The following is a 25,880-nucleotide window of genomic DNA, read 5'->3' on the forward strand; positions in this document are numbered from 1 at the left end:
AGGTTGCAGAGAGCAGAGATTGAGCCATTGCACTCCAGCCTGGGTGACAGAGCCAGACCCTGAAGAAAGAAAGAAAGAAGGAAGGAAGGAAGGAAGGAAAGAAGGAAGGAAGGAAGGAAGCAAGGAAGGAAGGAAACATCAAGCCAAAGTGTAATGCTAGGCACAAAATATGCACTCAGTTAAATGACACCTATTATCCTATTATTATCATCATCATCACTAAGGTCAAAGGTAAAAAGACAAATGGCCTTACCTAAACAAAGCTTTGTGTTTTTATACTTTGCTGTGTTTTCCTACTTAAGTTGGTCTTACTAGAACCTATAATCTGAAGCGATAAGTTCTGGCACAGTAATATGATTATTATGAAGTTGTAACTCCATTGTCTAAGCTGGGGTCCTCTGTGAGGGGGTGTGGGGCAAGGAGGTAAGTCATCTTCAACTCACCCTGCTAATATTTTCTGCAGACAAAATCTGATTATGGCAAGTAAAGTTGCCTTAGATAAGTTGTATCACTTTTTCTCAAAAAAGGGCAATTGAGAGCCAAATAGAGATCTTCCTTTTTCTCTTTGTGAAATTTCCTTTGGTTGTCCTTTTTTGGATCTTTAGAGAGCTTGATGGAGGGATAAGAAAATAAGAATGAAGATCAATATGCAAGGTGTTGCCTCTTGAACTTCACTGCAATGAACTAGCTCAATTTAACCTCCCGTGTATACGTTCCCATATAAGACATTACTTTTACAATTCATCACTAAGGGAATGTGTCCTTTAAGGAACTGCTGTATTTTGTATGCCCATCTTTCTGCTAGCAGGAACTTAGGTGATAACTTCCTTTGTTCCCCTTTCTGCCTGGTTACAAGGAAGCTCAGAGTAAAATTTACTGCTCCGTCATAACAAAAACATATTTACTTTCTCTGGCTCCTCCTTTTGATACTGGTATTCTCCTTTCAAAATTGTTCATTATTGTAACCTGTCTCAACTCAACATCAGGGAGTAGTTTTTTTTTTTTTTTTTTTCAGTAAACTTGAACCACCTCTTAGCCTTCTCTCAATTACTAGGTGTGAGTTCAAAGAGGCCTTAGCAGCTATCTATTGCTTGACAAAAGTCACAAGGAAATTTCCACTGATGTCCATTCATTGCCCCATAATTTGTTCCAGCTGTTTGTTTCAGTTTTTGGAAGCCACTGGATCATGAAGGTTCAGGGACAATGTGGGAACAAGTAGTGTGATCATTACCGTAAATCTCCCACAAATCTTGATATAGGAAATAATTATCATTCTCATTGAATTATCCTCATAAAGGAAACTATACTCAGGCTAACATGGGGCCCATGAAGATAGCTTCTTTTGCACTGATTTGAAAAATGGGCACTTCTGGAAGAGATAACATATGAGTTAAGTCAGTGAATCACAGCTATTGTTCTGGAAATTATATTCAAATCTAGTCAGTCCAAATCTGAGAACTCTATTTGTGATGCAAATAAAAAAAATACTTCTACTTAGCAAACCAATGCAATTTTGCATATCATTCAGATTGGTTACCACTTTAAATCTTTTCTGATAGAGAGATAGAAGGGTAAACCATGCGTGAATTAACCACATCTGACGCTATTCATTTTCCTTCAACTGCAGGTAATTATCCTGCATAATTCTCCTATGCATAAATTAAAACTGCATGAATTAACAATGAGCTTGTTTTCCTACATTCAGTAATTAAGACAAAATTGATCAAGGGATACTTTACATGTGGGCACGGATCAGACAAAAGTCCTCACAAAAGAAAAGGAATGATTCCTTTTTTCTCTCAAGTTTGTTTTTTCTCCATTTTCCTCCCCTTTTGTGGGGTTGTTCAGATCTCTGAGGCGTCAATCGTTTGCAAGAGGAAGGAGAAGGCACGCCACTGATATGGCGTTATTTATCAGCATGCATTGCTTACTTGGAGAAAAAGTGCCCATTTCATTTCCTGATGATAGGGCATCTTTGCAGACACACAGCTTACCCAGCTGGAATAATGAACCTTTCAGATGGAGGATGTGAAAAATCTTCTTCTTGATTATAATAGAAGCCTGAAGAGTCTCATCAACGCCTTGGTATCAACTGAGAACCTCAGCCTACGTGGACAGTCTCTGTTTCGAGTTGCTAAGCCAAAAGATCTGGCAGCCACAACTCAGCTAAGTTATGTGGGAGAACTCGGGCTTTTTGAACATGCTACAAACTGGCAGTTGCTGTGGGAACTGTGGCTCTGAATTTGGAGTCTGTGTATTTACATCCACAGCCGCAGCACAGCCCAGACTCTGATGCCAGACGGCCTAGGTTTAAAACCAAGCTCTGCCTCTTAGTAATTTTTCAGAGCCTCCATTCTCTCATCTATAAAATGGAGTAATTACCTCAGGGTGTTGTGAGCACTCAATGAATTAGTACATGTGCCTGGCACATTAGAAATGCTATTTAGTGATAGCTATTACTTTTATAATAATATAAAACATGTTTATTTAGATTGGATGTTTCATTGTATGAGAAGCTTGGCCAGGCGTGGTGGCTCCCACCTGTAATCCCAGCACTTTGGGAGACCGATGCAGGGAGATGCTTGAGCCCAGGAGTTCGAGACCAGCCTGGCCAACATGGTGAAACCCCATCTCTACAAAAAATACAAAAATTAGCTGGGTGTGGTGGCATGAGCCTGTGGTCCCAGCTACTCAGGAGGCTGAAATGGGAGGATCGTCTGAGCCCAGGAGATCGAGGCTGCACTGAGCTGTGATCTGGCCGCCGCACTCCAGTCTGGGTGACAGAGTGAGACTCTGTAGTTTTCTGTCAATATGCAATATGAAATATGTGTACACATATCTGTGATTCAGAATTTGCATTTATGTGTTGTTGTTGTTGTTTTGTCTTGCTTTTTGTTGTGGTAGTTGTTGTTTTAAGAGACGGGGTTGTCAAAGCTGGACTTGAACTCCTGGGCTCAAATGATCTTCCCACCTCAGCCTCTGGAGTAGCTGGGACTACAGGCACAGACCACCACACCTGCCTTAGACTTCGTATTTATTTTTTGAAAATTTCGATGGCTTCAAACTCCTCTTGTGCCCAGGAAGGCCTTGCCTGTGTACCTACACTCAAGATCTATGATTCACCTAAAGGGAGATGATAGAGGGAAGGTCATTTTTACCATATGCAGAATCTTATGTGCCAGGCTTGGCCAGGCTTATACTCCCCCAGCTGGATTATAAAGGAGTGAAACTAGTCCCCTACACGAAAAACTATGCATCCTTTCAATAGGGCTTTTTTCAGTACCTTTAGCCTGATTACTGTATATTCACATTTATGAAAACATCTTGAGTTAATGCAGCCCCTTAGTCCCTTCCTGCTTTGGTTATTTTCTTCCATCAGTGAGGGAAAGAGCCATTTTGTGACAACCAAAGAACAAAACCAAACCAAAACAAAAACTACATCTGGAAAACATCCTAATGTGAAGAAATACACATTGAGGATCTGGAAAGAAAAAATGACCCTTAAAAAAGAAACACCACGTGCCATTTCTATCCTATTTTAGGCCAAAGACCATTATGACAAAATTCAAAGGGCAAACTTTTTTTGGAATGTCATGGGAGCCTGAAAAGGGAGCAATTCCTGACCTTTATGTCATTACAGGGGCAGGTTTCCATTTGCAAAACCAAGTGTCCAACTGAGGACATTAGTCGTGTTGTAAGAGAAAACGGTCATACCTCAAATAGGCCATAGTTTGGTGATTGAAGGGGGAGGGCAGGAAGAACAAATCACCTCTCCTCCCTCCAGAGAAACACAGTTTTTGCTGCCTCCAGGCTGGCTAAGTGGACCTCCCGGGGTGGAGAGCGCCCAGTGAGGAGTCAGAACATCTCAGTGCTAACCAGCTAATCCATTCGTTTGGTTTCCTAATTTGTGAAATTAGAGACATTGATATTACATCACAGGGTTGTTCTGTGGTTTAAATGAGACCATGGTTGTAAAAGTTGTTCAAAACTGCAAAAATCCACAGAGATATAAGGCACTATCACTGGGACTAAAGTATCGTGATGACTATTCTCAACTGGACCTTGAACTTAAACTTGAGGAACAGCAGACTTTAGGTATCAAAGAAGGAGGCCTGTGCAGAAGAGAAGCGGTAGAAAAGGAAAGACCAGCAGTCAACTGGCTGGAGGAAGTAAGGGATCGCCAGTTGTGGCAGAATGTACTGCAGGTGTCAGAGCATAGTAGTCAATCCAATTACTTTTTCTTTTTCTTTCTTTCTTTTTCTTTTTTTTTTTTTGAGACAGAGTTTCAACCTTGTTGCCCAGGCTGGAGTACAGTGGCGCGATCTTGGCTCACTGCAACCTCCGCCTCCTGGGTTCAAGTGATTCTCCTGCCTTAGCCTCCTGAGTAGCTGGGATTACAGGCACCCGCCACCATGCCCGGCTAATTTGTTTGTATTTTTAGTAAAGCTGGAGTTTTACCATGTTGTCCAGGCTGGTCTCGAACTCCTGACCTCAGGCGATCCACTCGCCTCAGCCTCCCAAAGTGTAGGGATTACACGCGCAAGCCACCGCGACTGGCACTTTTCCTTCTCTTTTTCTCCATCTCCTAAGTGGGACCCCAATTTGAGGACACTTCCTGAAGTAAGGTTTGCACTACCTATACTTGCTACATTGAGACAGCTCTGCTTTGAAAACAAGTTATTTGGATTCCTGTTTGTTCACATGCTAGATTAGCCAGTTTGAAACTAAACTCCTTCTCAATGGTACCAACTCCACTTTCCCAAATCCTCCCCCGGCAAACAAACCAAAATGTGCAACAGTTTGCTTCTAATATACAATTTAAGAATGGGTTTCTTAGACCAATGTTCTGCAGGAGGAGAAGGTGAGCTTTAGATTTGGCTGTTCTGTGACTGCTACTATCATGTTATTTACCTCACAGGGAAGAAATTTGATAGGAATAACACAACACTGTGGTCATATTTGACCTTTTTCTGTGTCTGACCGTATAAACCAATCTAGTTATTTATTGCTGTGTGACAAATCATTCCAAAATGTAGTGGCCTGAAACAACAGCAGTGAGTCAGGAATTGGGAAGGCCTCTGCCAGACAGTTCTGGCTCAGGGTCTCTCCTCAGTCAGATGGTGGCTGGACATGGAACAGCAGGGTTTGGAGGAGCTGGGGGCTGGCCAGGCATCTTTCTCTTTCTTATCATCTCAGGTCTCTCTATGTGATCAGGTAGCTTGGGCTTCCTCCTAGCATGGTAGTCTCAGGATAGTCAGACTGCTTGCATGGTGGCTGATAGCTTCAAGAGTTAGTATTCCAGCCAATAAGGTAGAAGTTGAATGATCTTTTATGATCTAGCCTTAGAAATCACATTCTCTATTGATTGAGAAAGCCACAGTTTTGAGGGGAGAGAACATAAACCCCCATCTCTCCATGTATCAGAGTATCAGAGTCACTTTATTGAAAGATCATGCGGGGTGGGAGTTATTACTGAGGGCATCTTTGGAAAATATAATCTGCCAATCTGCCATATGGATGGACTGTAAGTAGTTAAAGGTTAAATTTTAGAAATTCAATATTTATCCCTGAAATGGATACTTACATAAAATCTCTCCTTAATCTCCAGATAGCAACTTCTTTTTTGTTTTTTTTTAACTTATTTATTTTTTAGTTTTTATGGGTACACAGTAGGTGTGTATATTTAGGGGTTACATGAGACATTTTGATACAGGCACACAATAAATAATAATTACATCAAGATAAATGGGGGTATCCTCCAGAGAGTAACTTCTAATGTGGTAAAACAGGCAACTATTCTGATGCCTCTCCCCTACCTCCCCTTTGTATCTTAATGACTTAACACTCGTTAAACTTCCTAAAAATCTCAGGCATCCACTTGTGTTCTGCCACATGCTACTGTCCCTCAGAGAAGGATCGTGCCATGCACATAGACCAGCAGCTCCCCGATTTCCTCATGACTTTCAGTGGCAGCTGCGTCAGATAGAGTGATCGGCACTCAGCATCGTCCCAACCCCTTCTTGCTGCCTTCCTTACTGGAGCTGGGAAGCTGAAAACTGCACTGCCCAGAATCCCCTGCAGCTAGGATTCCATGTGTGAGTTGGGGTCTCCGTCAAATGCACTTGCACAAGATTGAAGGTAGAAGCGGGGGCAAGGCTGTGTGTATGAGTTTCAGATGGCTGTTGTAACAAATTGCCACAATTTTACTGGCTTAAAGTGAAAATGACATATATTTACAGTTCTGGAGGACAGAAGTCTAAAATGGGTCTCACTGGACTAAAATCAAGGTGTTGGCAGGGCTGTGTTACCTTCCGGCGGCTCGAGGAGAAAATCTGTTTCCTTGCCCTTTCTAGCTTCTAGAGGTCACCTGCATTCCTTCCCTTGTGGGTCCTTCCTCCATCTTCAAAGTCAGCTATGTTCCATCTCCCTGATCTTTCTATCTTTCTTCCATAGTCACATTCCCTCTGACATAGCAGGGGAAGGTTCTCTGCTTTTAAGGACAAATAGAATTAGATTGGGCCCAACTGGGTAATCCAGGATACTGTCAAGTCCTTGACTTAATCACATCTGCAAAGTCCCTTTTGCCATGTAGGGCGACATAGTCACAGGTTCCTGGCATTAGGACATGGACATCTTTGGGGTGGTGGATGTGCATTATTTTGCCTACCATAGCAGACTTCTGCTTCTTTTATTGTCACTGCTGGCAGCCACCTTCATGGAATATCTGCTTTTTCTGTAGTGGCTTCCTGGCTGGCTTTTTCCTGACCATGCTAGTGGTAGTCTCATTCTGGAGCCAGTAGCTTCTCAAATCAGTGCACAGCTTCTTTTATTTTTGGAGACGGAGTCTCGCTTTGTTGCCCAGGCTGGAGTGCAGTGGTGTGATCCCTGCTTACTGCAACCTCCGCCTCCCAGGTTCAAATGATTCTCCTACTTCAGCCTCCTGAGTAGCTGGGATTACAGGCGTATACCACCGTGCCCAGCTAATTTTTGTATTTTTAGTAGAGATGAATCTTCACCATGTTGGCCAGGCTGGTCTCAAACCCCTGACCTCCAATGATCCACCCGCCTCAGCCTCCCCAAGTGTTGGGATTACAGGTGTAAGCCACCGCGCCCGGCCAGTGTATAGCTTCTTGAGTATAGGTTAGGCAGTGGCTCCAGTAGCCCTGTTTTACAATGTACTTTTCTTAGGTGTTCCAAAAAGCTCAACCTAGAGTGTGTTTCCTTATCCTTCAACTTAGAGAGCATTTGGTTGGCCTTCCTGACCCAACAATCCTGTAACCCTTTTTATTTTATATCTTTTCTGCTGAGTAGATTCTATTCTCTGCAACTGAGCCCTGATGAAATGTTGGATCACCTGTGGGTGTCCATCACCTCAGCTTCATCTCTCTTTTTTTCTAAGCTCCACTTATTTCTGAGGATGACGCATCACCGAGACAACTCTAAATTAGATGAGAACTTGGGAGGATACAGATCAAATTGGCTAAAATGCTGCCAATAACTTTATAAACTAAAAATACGGCACTGCAATTCAAGGGTTACAGCTGGTAGTTATCTTGGAATCTTCATGTAGGATAGGTTAACCTTGAACCTCTGCATATCAGCAGGGCACCTAGTGTGAGTATACATTAATTGGAAGGTAGACTGTCACAGCTAAGGCCAAAGCCAAGTCATTCCAGGACTTCATATGTAGCAAAAAGTAGATAAATCAAGCGTCATACTGGAATTGACCTCTTGGGAGTTGCACTAGCTCCAGGAGCTCCAGGAAACTGTCACTTTGAATTTATTTCTCCTAGTAGGAGGAGGAAAATCACGTGTGCTTTTAGCGTTTCTCTGCCTTGCTTTTGTATTTCTCAGGTACTCTCCCCACTTTCCTGCCCTTGCCTTCCTTCCAAGAGCTCTCCTGGAAGCCAAGGTCAGAAGGAGACAAGCTTGAAGAGAATGGAGTCATTGTTTCTTCATTTAACATCCAAAACAATTTGTTTGAGAAGGAAGAGATCACTTCCAGGGGTAGAGGTAAAGGCCAATAGCATTAAACCCAAAAGTGAAGAGGCAAATACAAGAAAGAATTAAAAGACACTGTTGTTTTTCAGTACATAAGGTTGGTTTTCGGTATGGTCATTGGCCAACCTTGTTCTAGTATCATCATCATTAATAGTAGCCTTGTTTCACAATTGTTCTTATCTGACCTTCCTTGCAAGACATGCCTTTTGACTGTCCCTAACTTTCCTACCTTCAGTCTAGATCTTAAATCTAGGTTCACAGGCAGTTAGTTAATAGTTGATACCTACCATTGGGTAGGCAGCATGCAAGTCCCAAGGATATAGGAACAAGCAAAACAGACCCTCTGTGCCTTCAGGGAGCTCACAGTCTTCCTAGTCTTTTTGTCTGGTAAATAGTCCCTTTTCCTTTCCATTTACCTGTAATCTTAGAATAGGCACATGAATGAAATCTTCATTGACTACTCCAATCACAGCCTTCTTCCTTTGACCTCTCATAGTCCTTTTCTTTAGGGTGACTGTGTGATTGCAACACCTCTGAGTGAAAGGTGGTGCTATTAATAATTATGCTGCAACAACAGGTGTCTATGGGGCAAACCAGGACATCCAGTCACCTATCCAACTCAATTGTGCTCCTCCTACTTCTCCACCAGACTGTGCTCCCTAGAAGGTATAATCAATATCTTACACTTTTTCTTTTTCTTAAGGGTCTCACTCTGTCACCTAGGCTGGAGTACAGTGGCATTATCTCTGCTCACTGCAGCCTTGACCTTCCAGGCTCAAGCGATCCTCCCACCTCAGCTTCCAGAGTAGCTGAGACTACAAGCATGCACCACCATGTCTGGCTAATTTTTCTTTTTTTTTCATAGAGATGGGGTTTCACCATGTTGCCCAGGCTGGTCTCAAACTCCTGGGTTCAAGCGATCTTCCCACCTTAGCCTTCTAAAGTGCTAGGATTACAGGCATGAGCCACCGTGCCCAGCCAATATGTTATATTTTTATATTGAATGCGATGTCTAACTTTGACCAGACCTTAGAATAATTGCCCAGTAAACACATGCTTAAGTTGAAACAAAAGTGGGATTCTCCCAAATTATATAACATTACAGAGTTGAACTTAAAATCCACCTCAGAATTAAAAATGATTGTGAATCAGTTTTAGAATGCTAAATGGTGTACAAAATAACTTCCTCTGAGACTCCTCTCTCCTTGGTCTGGTAGAGAACTCATTTTGATCTAATGGAACACAACATAGAAATATTGCACCTCATTTGCTTTCACTGTTGAAAAAAATCTAATTTCCTATTTAATTAATGTAATGAACTTGTGAAAACATTCATCTCCTCCACACAGTACTCATCGGTGTCATGTAAACAATGCACAATAAAATAAATTGGAGCAGCTTCTTTTCTTCATAGTGTTCCCGGTTTCCTTAGAGGGAATTAAATCCAGCACAGGGCCATGTGTAAATGATCTTTTTTGTAGATAGCCTGCCGCACTCAGGAAAACATGTATTATTTTTAGGGAATGTTTCCAACCTAAGTGAGATGAGTTTACTGTGACCAAAAAACAAAACAAAACAAGACAAAAACCTGGACCATGAACCCAGAGAAGAAGTTGGTGGCTGCAGAGAGGAGACACAGAAGAGGGAAGAGGACATGTGAGGGTTTCATGCTTAATTCACTGGAGATACATGATGCATTGAGTGATTTTGTTCAGTTGAATCAACTTGAAGGTTTCCATATGCATAACAGTGAGGTTCTTGTTTTCAGGGGGAAAATGTTGTTTCAAGAAACTGCCTATAAGTAAATGAAATGAAGAAATGAAGCCAAAAGAAGGGCTCCTTCCAGATGAAAAGGCATATGCTCATGATCATTCTCCTTTTCTGAACAGATCTTTATAATAATCACATTGCAGGGTGTTTACATGACAACTGCTTTATGAGACCATTCTACACCTAGGTTTGCCTTTGGGGAGCCAATTATGAGTGACTGGGCTATCTGTACCTCCTCTCCCCACCCCCACCCCACCCCAATTCCCTTGCTCCATTGTCTGTTTTCAGCTGTTATTCTTTTCTGGTTGAATGGCCACAAACACAAGCTGTCTATCTCCCCCAGCTCATGGAGCTCAGCTTGGCAGATGAAAATAAGCCTGGTAAAGGAGCTGTTCACAAGCACGAGGCCCTACTCACAGGACCACCGGTGCAGGAAGCCCAAGTAGAAAGTCAAATCTGCCATTGCCCTGAGGGGCACCCATTGTGTAAATAAAACGGACTTTCACTTCTATCACCACTTCCTCCCAAGAAAAGCAAGGAACTGTTTTTAGACTTCTGACTTCTTTTCAGAATGAAAACAGATAATCCATTGAATGCAATAAATGATTAAATAAAACTCTGGTTTGCAAACCCTTCAACCCAAGGGACTATTGTATGTACAATTCAGCCATTTAATATAAAACCTGAAGTCTGTGCTATTCACCCTGCACAGTTGCCTTTGTCTATATTTTAGTCTCTTGACAGAGGGGTGAACCAATAATCTGTGAATTAACACAAAGTGTAACAGAGAAGTGTCTTGGTTATACTTAGAAGTGGGCATGTAGTTGGTATCACAGTTGGGCTGTGGGGTTTTATCGTAGTAGGGATGTTTCCACTTTAGTGACCTCAGATTTAGGGAAGGACATTTGGCAGTGATTAGCAGGGCCCCAGGTCAATGGGTATGAATACTAAAGAGAAGAATTTTTATGAGAGTTTAGCTAACAAGATCCACAGATATAAATATCTCCCTCCACCCGCCCCCAGCCTCCTTGGCTTCTCCAGGTCAACCTTGGGTGGGTCCCTTCTCTGCTGGAAATAACTTCACTTTGCAGTTAACAAAAGGAAGGAGAGCCATTTCTGGAATTGTGTTTGTGTAATCAGAATTCTATGCAACTCCCTAGCGCATGCTTTCGGTTTTCTTTCTCTGTAGCTTGGTATTTCTTTTTATTTATACTGAGGATAAAATATTCAAAGCGAAATCTCACATTAGAGTGTCAGAGGAAGAGAGAAGCAACAGCAATTGGGGGGTCCTTTGGAAAAGCAACATATGCAGTATGTTTTTGCTAAACAGATTCTCCAATGTTCAAGTTTTCAGATGTTTGGATGCAGTAAATTTTTGGACAGGCAGATGCATTATCTTCCTGGGGGAAAGGACACAATTTGACACTATTGCAACTGAAGGGGAAGCTAGCACAGAAAGCTAATCCTGAGTGCTGGGAGATGGGGGCTTCAGATAGGGGAGTTCCTCAAGCTGCTGTTACCCTAAGTTGGTACATCCCTGCAGTTTGTTCCTACAGAAGGATAACTACTGATGCTTCCTAATTAACCACTGGAGAATAGCCATGATGGTGCTGGTTCTCGGAGAGTTCGTGGCTGACATCCCCTGCTTGTGACAGCAGCTAAAATACAATTTGAGGAAAGTAGATGGTGTGAGTGGGCAAGCTCAGAGGCTGGTCCAAAATGGCTGGAGGAGCAAGGGGAAGAGGGGAATTGAGTGAGTGGGAATACCCGGGTAGGGGAGGGAAGGAGGTGGGTACACTCTCAGAGCAAGACAGACCCGATAGAAAACAAAAGGGAAGAAATGATTGTGTGTCAGCTAACAATCGAGCAGACGCTCACACAGGATGCCCAGTCCCATAGAGATGGCCAAGTACAATTTCTTCAGAATGGGGGCAGTGATTAGTCACAATCCTAGACCTTCTACCAAGCGTGTGGACGTAAGAGGGTAGGAAGTGGGGAGCAGGGAGGAAACAGCCCCAACATATATTTTATCATAACTGTTTTCCCAGATTAAAAGCTTGAACATTTTTCCTCAGTCACTCAAGCAACATGTAGGTATCTCCAAGACAGGGACCTACGAGCCTACCAATCTCACTCTGCGCCACCCCCATCCCAGCAGAATCAGCCCGGTTCTCCTGCTTTTCCACTTGCTCTCTCGCTCTCCAGGGAGCTGTCACTTCTCACAGCGCCTCTGCCACCTTAGCACCTGATGACTTCTGCTTATCTAATTTCAAAATGCACCTACTCCCTTCGAACGTGAGGGGTCTCTATCTGCTGCCCACTGCCCTGTAAGAGGGAGCTAGAAGGTTATCGTCTCGGGCAAGAGAGCTGCACATGCTCCGCTTGACCAGCCCCCTCCCATGCCACGGACTCCTGCTAGGGTGCTCCTGTCCTCAGGTGCATCCCCTCCCCCCATCTTTCCAGACACAGATCGGCATCAAAGCAACACATTTTTTCCTTTCTTGCCCCTCTTCCCAATTCTCATCCTCCCATTCCACCTGGCCAATTTGGAATTCAGACACGGTGAGGAACGAGCTGGTTCATAGTCCAGCTCAAACGGGCAGCCCGGGGGCAAATGAAGACCCTTGAGACTGCCATCCCAGCCCTGAGCTGGATTCCCCATAGGCTCTGCGAGTGCCGAAGTCGTTCCGTGCCAGGGGGCCACCCAGGACTCCCATCTGGGGGCGCTCGCACACACACCCCTCCCTGACTCCCGGGGCCCGGCGCTTCCTCGCCCCAGAAATGTCCCAACCCCGGGCAATGCTGTGGGCCCCTCTAACCTTGGCCCGTTCCTCCACTCCCCAGGGCATCCTTCAGTTCTGCTTGCAAAAAGTGCGCGTGCCCCTTTCGCTCAGCAACTTCCCGACCGTACCCTGTGGGCTTCAGATGCCCGAACCCACCAGGGTGGTGGAAGCTGAGGACGCTCCAGTTTCAACGGCTGCTTAGCATTCAACGCTCATTCAAGTCGAGGACACCCCTCCCCACACAGACCTCACCGCGTTGTACGCAAAATCAGAAGCAAAAAAGGAGAAATGAAAAGGTGAACCTACCTAACGACGACGGCTCCTTGTCATGTCAGGGGCACACTCAGGGTTCTCTGGCATATAAAAGCCTCCGCACCAATGCAATGCCCGGAGCTGCCCGCACCTCCGGCTTTGCAGACAGCCTGAGCTGGCTCACTTGGGTGAAGGGGACCCCGGGAGGAAGTCGGGTGGACGCGAGCTGTCCCCAGCGCCGGCTGCCCTGCCGCGTCCGCTCGCAGCAGCTGCGGCGCGCGGGGTGAAGTTGCGGGGCTGGCGGGCGCGAGGGTGGCGGAGCGCGGAGCTAGAGCGGCGGAGCGGGCGGAGGGGCGGGAGCCGTGAGGAGGGGGAGGCGCGGCGCGGGGGCCGGCGGCGTCACTTGTGCTGGGAGGGGAGGGCGGGTGGAGACAGCTGCTTGACAGCTACTTCAGCCCAACTCCAGGAGGCTGCGCTTCGGTGCCTGCTTCCAGCTGATCGCCGGCACGCCAGGCTCCTTTGCAAGAGCTGGCGCGGCAGCTTTGGAGTGACCCGTGGAATCGCGCCGGGGAGCGAGCCCGGTGGATCCAGCGCGCTGGAGGGAGAGGGCAGAGGAAAGGAGCCGAGGCAAGGAAAGGCCCTTTCAGCTAACCTTTTGGGATCTTTCATACAAGCTGGGCTGTGCATTGAAAAAAATGAGGCGGTGGTGTATGGGGTGGGGGCGGTGTGAGGGTGAGGTTGGCTGCCCACGGCAAGGGTTGTGCTGGAAAGCCCCGCTGAAGAGGGCTGCTTTGTAGGGCACTCTCTCTACCGGGGCTGCTTTGGACACAGCTCTCATAAAGATGGCAGAAAGAGAATTGTTTTTTATTTTGTTCTGGTGGATTTGAATGATAAAGGTTTCCTGTGGGGAAAGCATGGGTCTGCCTGATAGACAGACATTCCCAAAAAAGGGCCTTTTGGAGTGGAAACTGTATGGAACTGGGAGTCGACAAGGACCCAGGGAAAAGGTCCTGACTCAGTCTCCATCCTTACATAGGGATTCCCTGCTATGCCTCAGTCTCCTCATCTGTTAAGTGATCATAATGAATAAATTGTGTATTTAGAATATGTTAACTAGAATAGTACCACAAGACACATCCACTCCCTCCCACACCACTTGAGATTCAGTCACCTTGTGAAAGGATCAGTAATAATCAGTGAGCTGAGACATTAGCCGAAAGGGAACATCCTAGGAGACATGTCAACATGGGAAACACCCACATCCAGTCGTGGTCTGGGCACTGCATCCTCGGGCTGGAATACAAGCAGCCAGAACCATCGCCTGATAAACTGTGTCATAACTCACCTAGGAATACAACAGAAAGGGCAAAATCGGCTTGATCCCCAGAAAGAACGCCCAAGAGCATGCCTTTACTAGACTGTGAGTTCATAGGGCAGGGACCATCTCTGTCTGATATAAGCTGTCCCCAGCACAGAGCAGGCACTCCATAGCTACATATTGAATGAAAGATGGATCACCCAGTCATTCTGAAGCACCCCTTCACTCTTACATTGATCCTTTTATTTCCCTTGCCAACCCCACCCTGCAACTTATCTGCAACCACATAGCTTTTGCTCATTTCCAAATGGCCACATCTATTCATTAGGATCCAGTTTAAATACCTTAATCTGCATCCATTTTTCCAAGATCCCTTGCCCCCCCCCTTTTTTTTTTGCCCTTTCATTTCAGAGCTTTTATAGCACCTTAGTTTACTCTCCAGATGCCTACACCTTCCACCTTGTATCATGACTATTTGTGTAGAGATGGATGGTTCCAAACATTTCTCTATTTACTGGAGTCTGGAGAAAGAGACCTGGAAAGAAGTACAAATATGCAGTAGAAGTTTGGGGAGAACTGAGTAAAGCGCTACTACGGATTAGCACAGTACTAATGGTCTCATAGGACGAATCTGGAGGGAGAAGGGCCTGACATCCACCCTGGAGAGAAGCCAACTGTATTTCCCCACCTTCCCACTCCCATCACCTTCCTGACTCAGGAATGGCACTGTTGTAAGTGACATATAACCTTTTATGAGAGGGAGGAGGAAGAGGATGAAAAGAGAGATGAGGCAGATGATGTTAGGTACTTTATAGATATTATCCCACTGAAGCCTGTCATCTCTTTCCCATAGCTGCCTCCACTTAAAAGATAAGACTACTGATACTCTGAGAAGATGAACAAGTAACTTCCTGATGATCACAAAGATGAAGCTAGTGTTGAAAGTCAGATGTGATTCCAAATCAAGTGCTCTTTTTACTACAGCACATTCCACTCCCACCCCCAACTTACCCTATTGGGCTGAGGGGTATCTTGCTGAGGTTTGGGCATGACTGTGGGCATGACTTGAGTGTGTGTGTGTGTGTGTGTGTGTGTGTATGTGCACATACAGAGCAGAGACCAGAAAGAAGCATGGAGTGGCTCCCCAAGCTGCTGCCTTTAGAGATTCCATGAGGTTGCCCCACTCACCGCTGTGGATTTAGGACTGAAGCTCTAAACAGGAATGAAGAGGGCACAGTGGGCTGCATCTCCCCTTGAGGGAGCTTCCTTAGGAAGGGAGCAGAACGTGTGGAGTATGGAAGGTGAAGGGCCAACACAGGCCTGAACTGACTGCATTAGACTGGAAGCTCTGGCAATTGGGATCTGTCCTGGGTGACTTTGTAGACCCCACAGTTCCTCCCACAGAGTACCTCCAGAGAACAGGTACATGTGTGACTGAGGGACCAGGCAGCACAGATCTAAACAACCACGACACACTGTGTATTGGATTGCCTGGTCCAAATCCCAGAGATTAAGGTCATATAACCAAATAAAAAGCCCACACCAGGTCTCCTAGAGCTTAGTCTAAAGGTCTTCACACCGCCTCTCCAATCACTGCTCCTGTGTGGTCACCAAAGTCTTCATTCTTGGGTAGTTAATTTCTGCTTGCGCCCATTCTCTCTCTTATAATGCTGTTCACTTCCTTTTAGGTTCTTACTATCCCTTAGGCAGGATTCTTTATCCCCAAAACTTCACTGAGCAGAGCACTCAGATATCTCGGCTGGGTCCTTTTAACCTCATCCAGGGAAACAGTGAAGCCTAGAGCTTGACAGGCATTGGGGGTGGGTATCCTCACCCCCACCCATGAGACACTTGCATTGCTCTTTCAGGCCAATGAAAAGGAATGGTTCTTTCCAAAGAAGAAATCGTTTAATACAAGTCAGGGTATTTTCCCCCCTCACATATAAATTTTAAATTGAATACACCCCTAATGGCCGGGCATGGTGGCTCATGCCTATAATCCCAGCACTTTGGGAGGCCGAGGTGGGTGGATCACTTGAGGCCAGGAGTTTGAGACCAGCCTGGCCAAAATGGCGAAACGCTGTCTCTATTAAAAATGCAAAAAATTAGCCGGGCGTGGTGGCAGGTGCCTGTAATCCCAGCTACTCAGGAGGGTAAGGTGGGAGGATCACTTCAACCCAAGAGGCGGAGGTTGCAGTGAGCCGAGATTACGTCACTGCGCCTCCAGCCTGGGTGTCAAACAACAACAACAACAACAACAACCAAAACAAAACAAAACAAAAAAGACCCCAAGTAGTAATAATAGCTATTATTTCAAGAAGTAATTGAGTGCAACCCAGGTGCCAGGCACTCTGCTAAGGGCCGGAGGTAAGCCCAGTAGTTGTGAAACCTGCCTTGTAGAGCCTGGCGATGAGGACAGTTGTAAATAAGTGGGATGGTGAATTACGAAGGAGGCAGCACTATGGGTGCTATAGGAACTGTGATTATTTTTTATACCATAAAACAAAGTGTTTGAACTTCAGCAGCACTGAAAATGGCCTCTTTTAATAACTGAACTGTATCCCATTCTCCTCTCATGAGAACTTTTTAAGCCAGTGTGTGGTTGAAGAACGGACTCAGCCAAACAAGTCTTATGGTTCTTACTGCCATCGATCAATCCTAGTAAATACACAATTCATCAGAAGAAAGCAGAACAGCAGCCAAAATGCAACCAATTTAATTCCCTGACTTACAGCTTCACATATGTAATAAAGAACTTAGACCATGCCTGAAGAACCACTGCCGTTATGAAGTGAAGTCGGTGCTCTAGGTCTAATCAGAAGGTCACTTAAAGATTTGGTTGTACCTACCGACCCTTATCTATCTATCTGTCTATCACATAATTTTTTCTGCATTCCCTGCAGAAATAAAAAACCATAGTTCTGTAACTACCTGTGTCTATTGTTCTGGTGAATTTGGCTTCTATTCTTACAGGTGACTAGTCCTAGAGACAAGTAAGCAGATACAACAGAGGTCTAATTTCTCTTTATAACTGTGATGCTTCTTATCCATAGGAACAGCAGATCTAACAGCCTTGAAGGTCTTTACTCTTATGACCTTTCTGTATAGGCACTTGGCCACCCAGATCCAGGGCCAAAATATGGCTTGGAATGCTGCCAGTTCTAAGAGTTTTGCACTCCTTTCTAATAGTATAATCTTTTGGCCTCCACATTGCTCACGTCTATTGAATTCTTCATTTGCTGCTCTGACCAATCTTTCTCCCTCTGTCTGTACTTTTTTTTTTTTTTTTTTGAGATGGAGTCTCGCTCTGTCACCCAGGCTGGAGTGCAGTGGCACGATCTCAGCTCACTGCAACCTCCACCTCCTGGGTTCAAGTGATTCTCCTGCCTCACCTTCCCAAGTAGCTGGGATTACGTGGGATTACAGGCACCCGCCACCACTCCCAACTAATTTTTGTATTTTTAGTAGAGATGGGGTTTCACCAGGTTGGCCAGGCTGGTCTCAAACTCCTGACCTCGTGATCCACCTGCCTCGGCCTCCCGAAGTGCTAGGATTACAGGTGTGAACCACCGTGCCTGGCCCCCGTCTCTCTGTATTTTTGATTTTCCAGCTTATGAAGTGCATAAGAATCACCCTGGGAAGGAATTTAACATGCAGATTTTTAGGTCCCCCTCCTTACACAGTGTCGTTTTAACAAGCACACTGATGGTTCTGGCACAGTCATCTCAGAATGCACTTCAGGAAACACTGGTCTGAACCAAGTCCAAATAGGCATCCAGCTCCCTTGGCACTGCAGTTGGTTCCAGAAGCCTTCCCAGCTGCATCCCCGCCACTCTGCCATGCAGGCTCTCAGCTCTGGCTCTTCTCACCCTGCATCCAGGGAAGAGTCTTGGAAAAAGTGCTGGACTCAGAGTCGATGCCTGGGTTCTATTTTAGTGTTGCCAGTAGAGAACTCAGTGGCCTTTGTGGACCTATGTCCTCATCTATCAAACGAAGGGTTTGGACAACCTGATCACCAAAGCTTCTTTTGGCTCTAACATTTGACAATTCCTGCTTCCACCTTTTTCCTCAGGCCATTCCTACTGCCTGAAAATTCTCTGCTGAGCCCTTGCCTCACTTTTCCTCCTACCTTTAATATTTGGCTCTAAAAATCCTGCCTGGCCCATGAAGCCCTGTTCAAACATTACCTCCTTCATGACACTTTCCTTGGTCATCTGTGCTGTACCTGAGTCCTCTTGTAAGTCATCTGTCCCCTGAGTGCAGACTCAATCACACATCTTCCATTTGTTGTAGCTATTTAATACACTTCTCCTCATTGGTTTATAAGCTCTGCGATGTCAGGAACTATGTTTTGTGCTGCATATAGGATAGTAACCTCTATATTAATGAGTGTAGAGGATAGCCAATAAATATTGACTAAACGAGAAATGAGAGCATACACTATCCCTGCTGGTTTCTGCCACCTTTTTCCCTGGAAAAAGAACATAACAAGCCTGCATTTATTGGTGTCTGAACTGTACCTATAGAAGCATATTTCAACCCGACAAGTGACAGCTGGGTCTTGCTCACCGCTTTCTGAACTGCTAAGAGAAAGACCCTGTTATCCTTTGCCCGTGTCTGGCACCCATGATAAGGTTCTCAAGGGAGTGGACATCTTAGGCTATTTCCTTGCCATTGTCACACATATCTGCTTGCACAATGAGAAACTTGTTTGGCCAACACTCTTGACATTTTAGTATGTCCCAAGAATGAATGTCCCGGAGGTTCAGAAGTCAGTCCCCTGTACTTGGGCAAATTATCTTAAGCCTAAACCTCCTCTCCACCCCCACTTCTAGCTTCCACACCAAGTGACCTGTAAGGCTGCATAGGTAGACAACAATCAGTGAAATGTTCAAAGTTGATGGGAAATAAAATATTCTCTAAATATAGCAGTCTCCTTCTCTCCAGAAACTTGAGATTGGATTTCTCATATATTATTATTATATTACATATTTACATATAGAGATCATTTTCTGCAATAATATAATCTAGGCCAACAGTTCCCCCGGCCCTTTTCTTGGTTTCAAGATCCATTGATACAATACCATAATCTAGAATAGCCTTTTTGAATTTTTGGTCCCAAGACCATTTTATGCTTTTAAAAAATATTGAGGACTTTGGGGACCCCTTGAAAGGGTCCTGGGAAACCTCATGAGTCTTTAGTTCACATTTTGAGAATCAGTGATCTAGATGGACAAAAATGTTGGCAAAATGTTAACTTTACAAATTCGTATAGTTCTAAACGCCATAGGCTGAAAGTAAATGGCATACATTTAATCAATATGTATTATTGCACAAAGGTATTAAAATAAGTATAACATGATTCAAAGCAGTTGTAGAAGTGATTGGAAAGTATCAATATCTACGTGTAAGCACAATGCTAAGTACTTGATATGTAGTAGGCTTTTTTTTCTTTCTTTTTTTCTTGAGACGGAGTCTTGCTCTGTCACCCAGGCTGGAGTGCAATGGCGCGATCTTGCCTCACTGCAACCTCCGCCTCCCGGGTTCAAGTGATTCTCCTGCCTCAGCCTCCCGTGTAGCTGGGATTACAGGCGCGTACCACCAGGCCTGGCTAATGTTTTGTATTTTTAGTAGAGACGAGGTTTCAACATGTTGGCCAGGCTGGTCTCGAACCCCTGACCTTGTGTTCTGCCCGCATCAGCCTCCCAAAGTGCTGGGATTATAGGCGTGAGCCACCACGCCCAGCTGTAGTAGGCTTTTTTAAAGGTTCTAAGTTGACTTTCACTTCACAATATCTTTCCTTTTTCTCTCATGATCAGGGGAAACATTAAAAAAAGAGACGTATCTGTAAAGGTCTTCCAAGGTGATTTATTTATTCTGTGTCCCTGGGTCTGATGCAGTCCCTGGTTTGCAGGTTATCCCATGTTGCCCCTTTCTGTCCATCTCCATCTTCTGTCTCCTGGAGGGCTCACCTGTAGGGACCACGTCAGTGGCCGCCCTGTGATGTCCAGGTGGGTCTAGCCAATGGGGATCCCCAACAGGAGATGAAAGTGAGGTGGGAATATGCATTCCCTGGCTCCTCCCTATGAGGTCACCTTGGGCCCCAGTATCCCCTGCATCCCCATCCCCCTTGTAACTCGTCTCATTGTAAATAAGCTTCCTTGAATTATTCTAACATGAGGGAGCCGTCAGCTTCCTGACATTGGCTTGATTGATAATCATTAATCATTACCTATTATTGAAAAATTTAAAGTATCTGCTTTTATCCAGTCATTCATATTTTAAAAATATTTCTTCTTCAGGTAGCTCCTTTAATTTAATTTAATTTTCATTTCTCTTTCCATTGTAGGCCAGTGATGTTATTGCATGTAATCCTGTTTAATTCTTTTCCAACTCCCTGCCCCCACCTATGCAAAGATCTTCCCAAAGTTTAGTTCCTCCCTAATTCATAAAGTTGGGACCATTAACTTCAGGAGCTACTTTTAGGAGGAATTACAGGCCCAGAAGCCCTATTGCTTAAAACTTTGTCACTGACTGTTAAACTTCAAAATCTTCATGGACATTATTTTGGAGCCTGATTTATATCTGGAACTGAGGTCTCAGTAAGGTTAAATGAGCTGTCACTACTACTCAGGCAAAGCTAGAGAAAGCTCTAGAGTCTCAAGGTAGCTTAAAACACAAGGGAACACACACCGAAGCCATAACTGAGGCTCCTCCTGGCTGTGCTCTATTCCTTTCTCTCATACTCCTGCTCCTAGGCTCTGAATCCAGCTGCATGCTAAAAAGGCCTGTGCCTCCTCTGTAAACCTGGAAACCATTAGATACCCTAGCTAGCTCCAGGGTCTAATGCCTCTTTCCTTCCTAAGTCACTCTTTCACAGCCTGCACCTCCCCCAACTAACACACATTTTATGCAAAATCAGGATACTGGATACAAGATTCATCCCCATGGGCCCAGCACAGTTTCACTTTGCAGAGGTGAAAGTGGAAATCCAACTCCTGCAGCACAGCTTGCTCAACCCACAAAGCCTTCTTTGGTAGCAGGAACCTGGCCCCACTGCCCCTCTTTCCTTCTCTGCTCACATAGAATCCACATCCCTGGCAGCTTTGGAGAGGAGCTGTGACAACAGGATAGAGTGCTGTCATCCTCCATAATTAGCCAGGCTAGCAAGACTGCTGTAATATCACTACGTTGACAGTGCTCTTGCACCTAATAAATTATTCACGCCACCGAAGTGTAATCGCTGTCACATTCAAAATAGGTCATTCATGCTAAGGCTGCTGGAGATGAAAATTTCACAGCAATGGTAACAAATCCAAGAGCTTTGGTTTAAGCAAATCTCCAAAGAAAGTGGCTTCTCCAAGCAATCCCATATTAAATATCTTTTATGGAATCCCGGCTATGTTTTCATTAGCAGCAGCAAGAAGAGACTGAAACAGCTGTCTGCTGGCAGGAGTGAGAGTTGGGGGATGGAAGGCTGTATTTCAGCCTCTTCCTTTCCTGACCCTCCCCCAAAAAGCCTCAAGGGGCTGCTTGAGGAAGATAAATGTGAACACCTGCTCTCGTTTGTTCTCTGCACACAAGACGATGGCTAAGTCACAATGAGGATAAGCCCTGTACATCTAGAAGAGCAAACGTACACAGGCCTCTCTGAGAAGTGCCTCTCAGCTGTGGGGTTTGCATTCACAGAGGAATTCAAGTTCAACAGCTGTAGGCCGTGTGCCCCTGCATTTCATATCCTAATTCACACACGTTTGAGCCTCTTCACCACTGAGAATACACTCGCCCTCTTGTCGGCAGTAGATACTATTCGACTCAAGTGCCTGGTGGAATACAAATATTGGACTGGTGATTTCGGTGTTTGGAGAGTTATTGGTGTTGTTACTATGTTATTTTAATGGTTTTTGAGGACTGTCTTACAGAAGGAAGAACAATTATTCCCCAGAATTAGAATAAAGAGAAGTGATTGAAGATATAACCTGTGGGATTTGAGTTAAAATAAAAGCAAATGTGGTGCCTACTAGCTATTGACTGTTAAATGGATGTGTGACTGATGGAGACAGATAAATCTCCTTTGGAGGGAAAAAGGGAGGGAGCTGAGCACTGGGGCTGATTGCTTGCCAGCCTTCTGTTAGGAACATAGACCAAACACCTCTTTAGGTCTCTTCCAGCTGAAATTCTATGAATGTATGGCCTTGGAGCAAAAGGGCAAGAAATGCAAGCATGTGAACTTGGTATGCATAGCACCAAATGCAGGAGAGCATGTGAAGATAAAGCATTCCCTGATGCATTCCCACAATTATCATGTTTACAGAACACTGCTTCCCAGGACATTAAGCTCTCAACTTCAAATATTCACCTCCAAGAAGCCAGCCCTTTCCCTCTGATCTTTCCTTAAATTGCCCTTTAGTGTTCTGAACAGTTTGCATTGTATTACTGAACTCATGGTCTTATGGAACACACCATATAGGTTATATAGCCCAATCCCTATAAGCTAGAGATAAATCTATGAATAATTTTCTATTATGTATATGCTGCTTTATAGGCAACATTTCAACAACTATTTCCTGAATGTTCGCTATTCTGAGTACTTAGAATGGGACTTCATGAAGTCATCCACAATTTATATGTATACTATAAACTTAACTGTCCAAAACTGGACTCCTGATTCCGCATCACAGCAATACCCTTCCTCACCTTAAGTCTACTCCTCCAGCAGCAGTCTTCATTTCAGTAAAGAGCAATGTTATCCTTCCAGATGCTTAGGCCAAAGCCCTGGAATCATCCTTGACCACTTTTTCCCATACCCCCAGTATTCAGCCAGTATCAGGCCAGGTAAGGATCCCATGAGCTCTTCTGGAATATGTCAGTAGTCTCCTAACCTACCTTTTCCCCTATTCCCCCATCTTTCTTTCCAAGACAACAGTCAGAATGATCCTTTTGTAAGGTAAATCAGATTGCATTACTTTGCTCAACACTGGCCAATGGCTCCCCATCTCATAGAGTAAAAACTCAAATCCTTACAGTAACCTATAAGGCTTTACAGGAGCTGAACTCCCCAAAACCTCTTAGATCTCTCTCTCTCTCTTTTTTTTTGAGGAGACAGAGTCTTGCTCTGTCACCCAGGCTGGAGTGCAGTGGCATGATCTCGGCTCACTGCAGCCTCTGCCTCCTGAGCACAAGCAGTTCTCCTGTCTCAGCCTCCTGAGTAGCTGGGACTATAGGCACGTGCCACCACACCCAGCTATTTTTTTTTTTTTTTAGTAGAGACGCTGTTTCACTATGTTGGCCAGGCCGGTCTCAAATACCTGATCTCAAGTGATCCTCCAACCTTGGTCTTCCAAAGTGCTAGCATTACAGGCGTGAGCCACCATGCCCAGCCTTAGATCTTCTACCATTCTCTGCCTTGCTCACATTGGTTTCCTTACTATTCCTGGAACACTCTCCCCAGACCTCCATATGTTCAGACCTTGACTTCAAACCTCTGGGCATTTGTCAGTAAAGTCTTCCCTGACCACCATGTCCTATTCTGCCCACCCTGCACTTAATTTTTTCCCATAACACTTATCGCCCCCCCCGACCCTGATGTACTGTATTTTTATAGGCTTGTCTATTGTCTGCCTCGCTTCTCTGCAATATAACTTCACAAGGCTGGGACTTTGTTATATTCACTGCTGTACCTGAGAGCCAGAACAGAACTGAACCAAGCATGTGGAAGACTTTCAATTGATATTCTTTCTTTCTTTCTTTCTTTTTTTTAAAATTTGAGACAGAGTCTCACTCTGTCGCCCAGGCTGGAGTGCAATGGCGCAATCTCGGCTCACTGCAACCTCCACCTCCTGGGTTCAAGCAATTCTCTTGCCTCAGCCTCCTGAGTAGCTGGGATTACAGATGTGTGCCACCACGCCCAGCTAAGTTTTGTATTTTTTAGTAGAGATGGAGTTTCACCATGTTGGCCAGGCTGGTCTCAAACTCCTGACCTCAAGTGATCCGTCCTCCTCGGCCTCCCAAAGTGCTGGGATTACAGGCATGAGCCACCACGCCTGGCTGATATTCTTTAAATGAATAATAATAAAAAAAACCTTATTTATATCCCTAAATAGCTCATAAGCTCCCAAGGGAGACACATCTTCTAATTATGCTATTCATCTCTAGAGGAGCCTCAGTAAGTGCTAATCTCAAAGTATTTTTGCAGAGTTCCTAAAACTGACGCCCAGCTAGGAAGAAATTAGTAGCAAGAATCCCATACGTAACTCTCACATACGCTGTTATAAAGGAAACAGTCTTTCTAAGATTGCATCAGATATGCTTAGCCTTGGTCAGCGTCAGCTGCCTAGAACCACTTCTATCTTTTGTGGAAATTCAGTTCCCTACTGTTAAATTTACCTGGCTCAAGAAAAAGCAACTGCTCTGTAGACCCTCAGGAATTGCCTGGTACTTTCCTGTTTTTTTTTGTACCCATTCTGAACTCTTTTTTTAAAAAAAATGTGGTAAGGGGCCAGGCACGGTGGCTCACGCCTGTAATCCCAGCACTTTGGGAGGCCGAGGCAGATGGATCATTTGAGGTTAGGAGTTCGAGACCAGCCTGGCCAATGTGGTGAAACCCTGTCTCTACCAAAAATACAAAAATTAGCCTGGTGTGTTGGCGTGCACCTGTAGTTCCAGCTACTCCAGGAGGCTGAGGCACAAGAATTGCTTGAACCAGGGAGGCAGAGGCTGCAGTGAGCCAAGATGGTGCCATCACACTACAGCCTGTGCAACAGAACAGGACAGTCTCAAAAAAAAAAAAAAAAAAAAAAAGGTAAAATACACATAACATAAAATGTACCATCTCAACTGTTTTTAAGTGTATAGTTCAGTAGTGTAAAGTACATTCATACCGTTCTGCACCAAACTCCAGAACTCTCTCATTTTGCAAACCTGAAACTCTATGCCCTTTAAAGCAATTCCCTGCTCTCTCCTCCCCCCAGCCTCTGGCAACCACCGTCTATTTATTGTTTCTATAAATTTGATTACTCTTGGTACTTCATAGAAGTGGATTCATACAGTATTTGTCTTTTATGGCTGACTTATTTCACTTAGCATAATGCCCTCAAGGTCCATGCATGTGGTAGCAGGTGTCAGCATTTCATTCTTCTTGCAGGCTGAATAATATTCCATTGTGTGTATATACTGTACTACATTTTGCATGGGTGGATACCTGATTTACTTCCACCTTTTGGCTATTGTGAACAATGCTGCTATGAATATGATATACAAGTATCTTTTCAAGATTCTGCTTTTAATTATTTTGGGTATATACCCAGAAGTGGAATTGTTGGATCACCTGGCAATTCTATTTTTAATTTTTTTTAGGAACTGCCATACTGTTTTTTGTAGTGGCTGTACCATTTTACATTCCCACCAAAAGTGGCCGAGAGTTTCCTAACTCTTTTCAATAGCAAGATTTTTCTCCCCCACAGCAAGTTAGAACTGCTCAGAGGCTGGGCGCGGCGGCTCACTCCTGTAATTCCAGCATTTTGGGAGGCTGAGGTGGGTAGATCACTTGAGGCCAGGAGTTTGAGACCAGTCTGGCCAACATGGTGAAATCCCCTCTCTACTAAAAATACAAAATATTAGCAGGGGACGTGATGGCGCATGCCTGTAGTTCCAGCTGCTTGGGAAGCTGAGGCATGAGAATCACTTGAATCTGGGAGGCAGAGGTTGCAGAGAGCCGAGATAGCACTACCGCACTCCAGCCTCAGCGACAGAGTAAG

The 25,880-nt window shown here is 44.7% G+C and overlaps 1 protein-coding gene across 13 annotated transcripts in view, besides 1 other annotated feature; it reads right to left on the bottom strand.

Moving 5' to 3' along the window:
* Positions 1 to 25,880, bottom strand: part of RIPOR2 (RHO family interacting cell polarization regulator 2) — a 237,885-nt gene that overhangs the window by 93,674 nt on the left and 118,331 nt on the right. For 2 of the 13 annotated variants that reach the window (NM_001346031.2, NM_014722.5), the window contains exon 1: positions 12,861 to 13,091. The exons of 9 other annotated variants lie outside the window; for them this stretch is intronic. The gene's annotated coding sequence lies outside the window, so the exon portion shown is untranslated. Of the gene's footprint in view, positions 1 to 12,590; positions 12,778 to 12,860; positions 13,092 to 25,880 lie in introns of those variants that run through there. 2 more of the 13 variants (NM_001346032.2, XM_047419593.1) reach the window with 1 other exon arrangement.
* Positions 19,952 to 20,451: an enhancer, noted in NCBI's record as "H3K27ac hESC enhancer chr6:24918137-24918636 (GRCh37/hg19 assembly coordinates)". NCBI's record gives its function as "activates a minimal SCP1, AML or CMV promoter by ChIP-STARR-seq in naive H9 embryonic stem cells {active_cell/tissue: H9 hESC(naive)}" and the evidence as "EXISTENCE:reporter gene assay evidence [ECO:0000049][PMID:30033119]".

The sequence above is a fragment of the Homo sapiens genome, chromosome 6 (assembly GCF_000001405.40).
Source record: "Homo sapiens chromosome 6, GRCh38.p14 Primary Assembly".
In the NCBI taxonomy this organism is placed as follows: domain Eukaryota; kingdom Metazoa; phylum Chordata; class Mammalia; order Primates; family Hominidae; genus Homo; species Homo sapiens.